Source organism: Homo sapiens, chromosome 20, assembly GCF_000001405.40.
Source record: "Homo sapiens chromosome 20, GRCh38.p14 Primary Assembly".
NCBI classification, from domain to species: Eukaryota; Metazoa; Chordata; class Mammalia; order Primates; family Hominidae; genus Homo; species Homo sapiens.
The window spans coordinates 1,806,723-1,816,891 of NC_000020.11; the positions used below are offsets into that span (position 1 = coordinate 1,806,723).

Here is a 10,169-nt window from a genome sequence, read left to right on the forward strand (position 1 = left end):
CCAGAGGCCATAGCAGAAACTGCCAGTCCTCCTAGAGGTTAGGCCTGGAGTGGGCGTGACATCATTTCCACCATACTCTATTGGTCAAAGAAGTCACAGGTCAGCCCAGATTTAAGTACAGGGGAAATTGACTCCTCTCAAAGGGAGGAGGATCAAAGAATCCACAGCCATCTTTAAATTATCACATGGTCCGAGCTGCTTGAGATGTAGTCATCATGTCTCAAATTCCAGAAAGTGTGGAGGACTGGTGGAGGAAGGTGTTTACCTTCCCTTTTAAGACATTTTCTGGAAGTCACACACAACATTTTCCATTGGCCAGAACTTACATGGGCATACCTAGGATATGGAAGGGAAACTGGAAACTGTAATCTTTATTGCAGGAGGCAAGCCATGTATTCTGATGAAAATTAGGGATTTTGTTGACTAAGGAAGAAGGGGAGCATGGGTATTGAGGACCAACTAAAATCTATTCCATGGTTAGGTGTTTTGTTGTTGTTGTTGTTGTTTTTGCTACCAACAGCCAAACACTGTTCCTAGCAGAGATGTTTCTATACCAGTCTTCTCCTTCCTAACACATCTTCCACTCTGTCATCAAAATAATCTTTCCTTTTTTATTATTTGTTATGTTCCTATACCGTATATCTTTTAATCATTCCTATGCCAACAGCAAGTGTCCGAATTATTTTGTGTTGTGTGAAACAGTAATGGGGTTTGCCACACACCAGGCACTGTGCCAAGCACTAAATGAACATATCTCACTTGATCTCCGCAGTATCCCACTGAGTGAGGATCACAGACGAGGAAGCAGAAACCCAGAGAGGTTAAATGACTTGCTCCGGGCCACACAGAGAGTAGGTGCAAGGCTGAGATTCAAACCCTCGACTGTCAGATTCCAGAGCTGTGCTGTGAAACCCACACATGTGAAGCTCAGGGACTGTTTATGGATGACAGCCCCGGAGCATGGGCAAGACTTGTGCCTGGTGTGTGAAGGTTACAGGTGACAAATGTGAGCCAAGAGCCTGCAGATGCTCCCTTCCCGCTGTGATCCTTCAGTAGGGAAGACTGCATCAAGCCCCAGGGCCATGCTGGCATATTTCATGAAATTAAACTGGCACCAGGAATTCATATCATTCTATTTCCTTTACACCCTGACTGAACCCCAAGTCTGGAGGAGACTTTGCAGAACTGGCTACATTGCTAAGCAGGGCACAGGCCCAGTTAAATGAGGCACCTTTCTGCTCCAGCTCCAAGCTTCTCTGTTCTGACCCCGGTCTTTCTTGCCTTTGCCTCACCCCTGTTCGAGGACATGCAGTGACTCCCTGTTCCCCTCAAGTTCAGTTTTGCCTTTCTCCAAATGCTCCTTGTAAGGACTGGGGAGAATACGGTTCCATCCTTTCGGTGAATTTCAGTTTCTGCATCTGTCAAATGGGAGGAAATAATCCCTGCTTTGCTAAGTAATTGAAATGTTGAGGACCACACAGGACAAGGAATAGGAATGGCCTTTGCAGGGCAGAGCAGGCGAGGGGCACAATCCCACTGGATCTGAGTAGTATTTAGAAGACTAGGCATTATCTCCTCGGAAGGCAGAAAGATCTGGGGTAGGGAGTGGGGTTGTGGAGGATCAGGGAGTGCCCTGCACCTTCTTGTGGGGGCTCCTGCCCACAGTCTTGCAGAGGAAGTGGCCCAGGGTGAGCATTTACATATTCTATATGCCCCGCTGGGGGGACACAGTGAGACCACCGGTTCTGAAACCAGATAAACCTGTGTTTGAGTGTCCCAGCTTCATCTCGTACTAGCTGAAGGACCTTTGGATAAGTCATATCACTTCTGCCTCCAGTTTCACAGCTATAAGTTGGGGCTGAAAAAAGAACCTGTCTCATTGGGATTTTATAAGGAATCAAATGAGAATGTGCGCCTTTAAAGCACCTCATTTAGCACAGAAGAACTGTTCAACCAATAGTCATGGTAAGAGTGACTGGTGTTTTTTGAGCCCTGATTAAATTATATGCCATAAGAGTCTTCTTGATTAGTTTATATACTCCTCACCACAATGCTAAGATGTAGTTAACATTATTATTTCCCACTTGTAGATGTAGAGATGGGGATGCAGTTAGGCTGAACGAGCTGCCCAAGGTCATAGTAAGTGGTAGAAGCTGGGCTTGAACCGGAACCCAGTCTGTCTGATGCAGTCTTCCTTAATCAATAGCCATGCTGTTACTATTACTGTTGACATTACTATTATTGACCTTGAATTCTTTACCCAATATCTCCACACTTCCACAACACCTGGTGGGGGCAGGAAGAGCCACCTGACCCAAAGACTGCCAAAATATAGGCTGAGCAGCCTGTGATACAGCCTGGGACAGAAGCTCCACCCAGCAGGGCTGAGCCCAATTAACTAAACTCATCAGCAGTGATGGTGGCTGCCAGTTTGAATTGGACCACAAAGAGTTGGGATGATGCCTACAAGCTGAAAGACCCTAAAAGATGACATAATTCAAACAAATGTGAAGGCACAGGGGCAATGAGTAAGCCAAACTTCCAAGACAGACAAGGGGGAGGAGAAATTTGACAAACGTCTGCTCCTGAGATGACTATGAACTGACTCAGTCCCAGAGCACTGGGTCCTGAATGATGTTCCAGTGGCTAAGTTGTATTCTGTGATGTGTGGTCAAAATTCCTGCCTTCCAGTCCCTGCATGTAGCTTTACAACAACCCCCATGGCTCAAGTTAGGAGAGAGGCTCTGCTCTTTTCAACCAAAATTAGGCTAGCTCAGCTCTCCCGTTTATCTTTAGGGTAAATGCTAAGATTTGGAAGTGGTGAATGGAGAGGGAGGTAGGATCAGGACATCCCTCCATCAATCCCAGGTGACGAGGCCCAGAAGACATGGCCTGGCCCAGTTCCTGTTATATCAGAACCTTAGTCCATGTCTCACCATCTACAATCATATCCTAAGTGATCTCACTCACCATCTGGGGTGACTCCGGGCCAGGCGTCTCCCCTGCACTCCAGCCTCATGCCCAGCTACTAACTCCACAGCTCCGTCCGTGTTACACAGGCATGTCAAATCTCACCTGTCCAAAATGGAACTCCTGATTGTGCCTCCAAAACCCACCCCTTCTGCAGGATTTTCATATCAGGAAATGCCAACTCTATAATTCGAGCTGCTTAGGTCAAATACCTTGGAGTCAGCCCTGGCTGTCCTGAGTCATATTCCAACATTCTTGCAGTCCACAAATTCTATTGGCTCTTCCTTCTAAACGTATCCGTGCCCTCCATGATCACCCTAGTCTGACCCACTATCGTCTGTCACCTGGGGTGACACAACAGCCTCCTCTTGCCTCTGGCCTGCCTTCTACAACTTGTTCTGAACTCAGCAGCCAGAGATGTCCTGTTAAAACCTAGGCTGGAGCTTGTAGTCCTCTTGCTCAAAACCCACCCATCACTGCCCTTCTCACTCAGAGGAAAAACAAAGGCCTCCTAAGTCACACAGTCTGACCTCCTCAGTTTCCCCTACAGACCTGCCTCCCTGACCTCACCTCCCAGAGCTCTCCCCAGCCCTTCCTCTATTCCAGCCACTCAAGGTGATCACCACTCCTGGAAGGAGAACTCCCACCCATGGGCCTTTGCATCTGCTGTGCCCTCTGCCTGGGGTGCCCCTCCAGCACGGCTCCCTATCTCACTTGTGTGGGTCTGCAGAGATGCCTTCCCTGGGTACCTCATTAAAAATTACCACCCACTCCAGCAGTCCCTCCCCCGTCTCCTTCCCTGCTTTAACTTTCTCTGTAGCATTTAACACCATCTATTGACACGCGGTAGATTTTACTTACTGTTTCGTGTCATCTCCCACACTGGGATGTTAGCTACGTCTAGGGAAGGACCTTCTTCCATCAGGTGTATCCCCCTTGCCTAGAACACAGCGTCTGATGCATAGTAGGTGCTCAGCAAATCCTTGTCAAATGAACAAAGAAGCACACATAAGAGGACTTCCTGGAGGCACCCCTACCCAGTTCTCACGCCCCCAGCAGCCACCCTCTGGGTGTTCCAGGCCCTAGGCTAGTCCCCTCACTTCTTTGATCCTATTCAGGGGAAATCGGCCTCAGGCCCTGTCCGAAAACAGGAGAACTAAGGAGAAGCTAGTCATGGAGGAATTAGTCCAAATAGGTGGGGATTTCTTTTTAATTAGAACTATTTTTTTTTTTCCCTTCACACAAAAGGACTTGTGTCCCAGTAGCTGGCTCTCCTGTCAAAGCTTGTCCCGGGCTGAGAGCTGGAGCTCTGTGTTCCCACCAAGGATCTACTGTCAGAATCACTGGAGAGCAGCGTGGGCTTTACAGAAGGAAGGTTCTGGGGCAGCAGGGGCACGTGGCCTCCCTGGGACAGGCACACACCTGGAAACCCCACAAATGGGAAGGACTCCATGTGGGTGACAGGTGAGGCTGGTAACAAGCGTGTAGGGTCACTGTACTGTTCTCTCCACTTCCTGTAGTTTGAGAATTTTCTTTAGAGAGAGAAAAAAAAAAAAGAGTGTTTTTCCCCTGAAGTTCTCTTTTCCCGACACATGCCCAGAGGATTTCCTGTAGCCCTCCCTCCCCACCATACCCCACCCACAACTTCTCTTTTCTCCTCCCCTCTGATTCGAGGAGAGAGCCATTCTGCTCTGCTTACTAGCTGCCTGTCTGCATCTGGGGACACTTACAAACCTTTGATGCCTGTTTACTCCCCTACTCGCCAAGATTTGGGTCCAGATGGCCTGGTGAGGTGGTGCTGGGCACTGATGGTTGCTAAATGCTCCCTGGGTGATCCTGGCACTTTCTAGAGTTGAGCAACTACCTTGTTACCCCAGACCCAGCCCTGACTCTGCCACACTCAGGGATCTCCTGTTAATAGGGTCCAGCCTCCTTAGAAGACAGTTTAACAACATATTTTGTTACCTGAGCCCATCTTTGGGGTCCACCATAGCTGCCTAAGTGACTTGAGGAGATATTTCTTCCAAACCCAGACAAAGAGCCTCATTCACCACCAGCACTCCTGGTGGATGACATCCTCCCTGTTACCTTATGCGACACGGGTTCCCTGTGACCATTTGGAAAGTGCAGAGAAGCACACAGGAGCTGGCCACAGCCCACTTCAAGCCCAGGAATTTGTGAACAGAAAGGAGCCATTGTCTCCAGTCACTTGAAGGGAACAGCTCAAAAACACATTCAAAGGGCCCTGATGATAATGAATATGCTAATATGATTTCCACTGGGCGCCTGTGCTACCTCCAAAAAACCCTTTCTGACCTTCCTCATGGATTCAAAGCTTTCATTGAAGTCGACAGGGGATTTTGGTTAAAATAACATGAAAGTTTTCATTTAAATGGACAAAGCTGGGAGTTGTGAATTAAGCATGAGTTTCACATTGGTCCTGACACCCCTGACCTTGATGGGGAAATGCATAGATTGTGACTGGACCTTCTGGACCTTCTAGCTATTGCCTTTGGGTGGGCAGAGCTAGCAAGCATTAAGGGTCCCTTTTGCATGACAAGTGAACTCTGGAGACCTAGGTTTAAATCCCAGCTCTGACACTTACTAGCTGGGTGACCTTGAGAAAGGCAAATCATTTCTCTGATTGAGCCTCAATTTCCCCATCTGTAAAATGGTTTGGATAATACTTCCCTTGCAGCATTGCTTCCAAGAGTGAATAAGAAGTCTGTATGTGGGAGGGGTTGGGGAAGTGGAAAACATCTTGGAGCTCCCCACCGTCTCACCCAGTCAGAGACCCAGCAAGGGTGTGAACACCTCCAGCCTCCCATATCCCAGACCTTCTTTCCTTCATTCAGCGTATATTTATAAAGCATTTCCTGGGTGCCAGGTACTGTTTTGGGGCTGGGGATTCAGCTGTGAACAGAACAGATGAACTCTGCCCTCAGTGGAGCTGCCATTGTAGTGGGAAGGACAGACATTAAACACATGAATAGATAAATAATAAGTAAGTGGGCTGGGCGTGGTGGCTCACGCCTGTAATCCTGACACTTCGGGAGGCCGAGGGGTGGGGGGGGGGGTGTTGGATCACCTGAGGTCAGGAGTTCGAGACCAGCCTAACCAACATGGTGAAACCCCATCTCTACTAAAAATACAAGGGCGTGGTGGCACATGCCTGTAATCCCAGCTACTCGGGAGGCTGAGGCATGATAATCACTTGAACCTGGGAGGCGGAGGTTGCAGTGAGCCGAGATCATGCCACTGCACTCCAGCCTGGGCAACAGAGCAAGACTTCGTCTCAAAAATAATAATAATAATATGTAAGTGGTAATAAGTTCTTTGGAGAAGAAAAACAAAGTCCTTAATGAAAAGAGCAGAGCTTTAGAATTAGACAGAGCTGAATTCAAATCTCAGCTTGCTCTTTGCTGGCTGTGTAATGCCTGGGAAAGAGATTTTATCTCCCTAACACTCTTCTGCACATTTTTTAATGAGACCCACTGATGAATCACCCACCCATTGAACAAATATTTATAGAACTCTGGGCCAGGCACGGTGGCTCATGCCTGTAATCCCAGCACTTCAGGAGGCCGATGCAGGCGGGTCACTGAGGTCAGGAGTTGGATACCAGCCCGGCCAATATGATGAAATCACATCTCTACTAAAAATACCCCCCCAAAAAAGAAAAAAAAATAGCTGGACATGGTGGCGTGCACTTGTAATCCCAGCTATTCCAGAGGCTGTGACAGGAGAATCGCTTGAACCCAGGAGACAGAGGTTATAGTGAGCCAAGATCGTGCCACTGCACTTCAGCCTGGGCAAGTGAGCCAGACTCCATCTCAAAAAAGAAAAAAGAACTCTGTCCTGTGTCAAGCATTGTTTTGAGTGCTGGGGAGGCCACAGTGAATGAAACAAAAATCCTTGCCCTTGGGAGCTTAAAATCTAAAAGGGAGAAATAGACAATTAACAAATATACGTATATCAGGTGATGAAAGAAAAAGCAAGGGAAGGAGGTCAAGAATGTGGAGGACATTATTTCAGGGAGTGGTGGTCAGGGAAGGCCTCTCTGGGGAGCTGACATTTAAGTGGAGCTTTGAAAGATGTAGGGGAGTTAGCCATGTGGGTGTCTGAAGGAAGAACCTTCCCAGTCGGAGGAGACATCAAGGGCAAAGGCCCTGAGGTAGGGCCATGCGTGGCTGTTGGGAGGATTAGGGAATTGGAGGCAATGTCTAAGACACACCCAGCACAGCCCCTGGCTCTGAGTGGGGGTTCAATCAATAGCAGTTATTATTTGTACTCATTTTATGAAAAATGCAAGAGAAGTCATTTTCCATTATTATAAAAGTTCTTGAAGGCTTTGTGGATTGATGACTTTATTCCCTTTTCTTCTTTTGTTTTTCTGAATCAGAACCAGCAAGTCCAACCCCCAAGCCCACCTGCCAGCCCGCCTCTGTGCCCCCAGTCCCAATCCGGCAGGAATGTTTGACATGCAGTGGTGCTGGAGGGAGGGAGTGTGTAATTAATGATGGTTATTAAATAATAATGCCAGCATCTTGAAGTTCTTTCCTCTCCACAGCCTCACAAATTAGACGCCTTCGAAATGTTGTGCCCGTCGCCAAGATGCACCTCCATCTGGGGTGGAAGCAACATCTGCTAAACAGCTGCATCTTGTTTAAGAGCTGGTACTTAATTCAATTATTCAGCTCTGATAGGGGCAGGCAGAGCTGAGCGGAAGGGGCAGGCCCAGTCATGGGCATATGCTGCTCCACGTCTTCCCAAGTTGACCCAAACTCCTCTCCCACAGCGTCCCCACTCGCATCTGTTGATTCAACCAACCTAGACATCTGTACATTTCCAGAACCGGCCATGCTCACTCATGCTGCCTCCTTGCTTTTTACTCAAGCTGTGTGCCCCTGCCAGGAACACTCTTCTGCTGCCTGTCCAACTCCCGTGTCCTTCGAAAGGCCCAACTCAAACATCAGTATCTCCTCCAGGACAGAGCATAGGGAATTACCTCCCATGAGCTCTCTCGGTGCTTCATGCATTCCTTAACTGGAGCATTCATAACATTACATTGCAATTTTGTGTACCCTGCTGTTTTGTAAGCCCCTTAGGCTGGGAACCATGTGTATTTCATTCTTGTTATCTCAGCATTGTACCTGACTCCCCATAGACACACCCAGCACAGCCCCTGGCTCTGAGTGTTTAGTTAATGGATGGATGGATGGGTGGGTGGGTGGATGGATGGATGGATGGATGGGTGGGTGGGTGGATGGGAGGGTGGATGGATGGATGGATGGATGGATGGATGGATGGATGGATGCATGCATGGATGGATGGGTGGGTGGATGAATGGGTGGATGGGTTGGTGGGTGGATGGATGGGTGGGTGGATGGATGGGTGGGTGGATGGATGGGTGGATGGATGAATGGATGGATGAAGAGATAGAAGAATGGAAGAAAGGAGGGAAGAACAAAGCGGTAGACAAACAGATGGACCCACTGCCACCATCTAAATCCAAACAACCATCATTTCTCACTGAAACACTGGGGTCTCTCACTGGTCTTTCAGTTTCTACTCTTGCCCCCAGTAGTCTCTTCTACTCAAAGCACTTAGTAATCTTTTGAATATGGATTTATATCATGTCACTCCCCTGTTAAAAACCTTCCAGTGGCTTCCATATTCCTAACCCTGACCTCCAAACCCCTATAGGAAACAGCCCCTGCTTATCCCTCTGATATCATCTCCTCTCTGTCCTATGCTCTGAATACTTGGGGAACCTGCCAAGCTCTCTCTCACCTCAGGACCTTTGAATCTGCTCTTCCCCTTTGCCTGGGACTCACTTCCCTGGATTTCTGTCAAGCTAGTATCTTCTTAAGTCTTCCAGTCTAGCTCTAATGCCACATCCTCAAAGAGACACTTCTTTACTTTGCCAGTTAAAATAGCCACCATTGTGGTCCTTAAAGGCCAAGGGGCCTGATCCAAATACCAATGCTTTGGCTGCTGAAACCCAACAGGCTTCCCAGAGCATCATCCTCAGCTGGGGTCGTGACGCAGACCTCCCCCAAGTGCCTGCCCTACAAGCCATCCCTTCCCTGGGTGCTCACTCCTCCTCTCCATCAACTAAAGATCCTTCATGAATGGGCTTGTCTGGAACTGCCGCAATTAAACTATCAGAGCAACATTGGACCATTTGTTTACTATGGCACTTAGAGCTGGAATGGCTTGTTGTTTTGACTGTTTCTATTTTCAGCTCCATTTCCTAGGGGTAGTGGGGAGAGGGTAGGCAATGAATCCTGGTCTGTTCAAGCAAAAAGATGCATCAGTGAAGCCTAGAATTTCAGAGTCACAGAATTCTAGCATCATTGTCATGGAATATGAGAGCAGTGAAAATCTATAATTTTGGTTATAGGTTCCTAGATTCACGAGATTCTAGAATCTTACTCAATGAAATTAGAATCTTAAAGTCAGACAAATTTAGACTCAAAGTCCTAGAGTGATGGGCTCTGAGGAGACTGTCACTTTGTCTACTCCATATCTCTTTCCCAGAAGATCTTCTCTGGGTACCTTATCCACAACGTTCCCCCCTACCGACCCACAGCCTGTCACTCTCTATTGTTTTAATTTTTCTTTATGGCTCTGATCACCACCTGACATTTGATCTGTTTCTCTGTTCATTTGCTTATTGCCTGTCTCCCTCACATGTGAGATTGAGGTCAGGAACTTTGTTTTGTTCAACGTTTAGAACAATGCCTGGCATGTTCTAAACAGTACTCAGAACAATGCCTGGCATGAAGTAAGGGCTAAAAAAAGCAGTGCCCATTCATCCAAAAAATATTTATTGCATCCCCACTTCATATTGGTGCCTCAGAGATGATCTTCTCTCAGGACAGGAAGCAGGTCTCACTTTGCATGCCAAATGCAATTGGCAGTAGATACCCAGAGCACGGTGTTGAAAAGACTTCTTGGGGCTTATCCAAGCTCCGTGGGGAAGGGCAATTGATGAGCAATGTCTGGCATAGACTCAGCCATGGGAAAAAGTGGCCATCTCTGCTCTGGCCTCCAACCCTGCACTGAAAAAAACTGAGGTCCAGAAGAAGATGCACTGGGCATGCATGGGGTGCATAGCCAGAGTTAGAACCCCATCTTCAGTCTCCCCTCAGTGTTGGTTCCTGAGCCCAAGCCTCTCACAAGCACCTGTGTGT

At 47.9% G+C, this 10,169-nt stretch overlaps 1 annotated feature.

Annotated features, from left to right (window-relative positions):
• Positions 9,601-9,895: a silencer, noted in NCBI's record as "tiled region #14496; HepG2 Repressive non-DNase unmatched - State 20:ReprD, and K562 Repressive non-DNase unmatched - State 24:Quies". NCBI's record gives its function as "represses a minimal TATA promoter and a strong SV40 promoter by Sharpr-MPRA in HepG2 and K562 cells {active_cell/tissue: HepG2 | K562}" and the evidence as "EXISTENCE:reporter gene assay evidence [ECO:0000049][PMID:27701403]".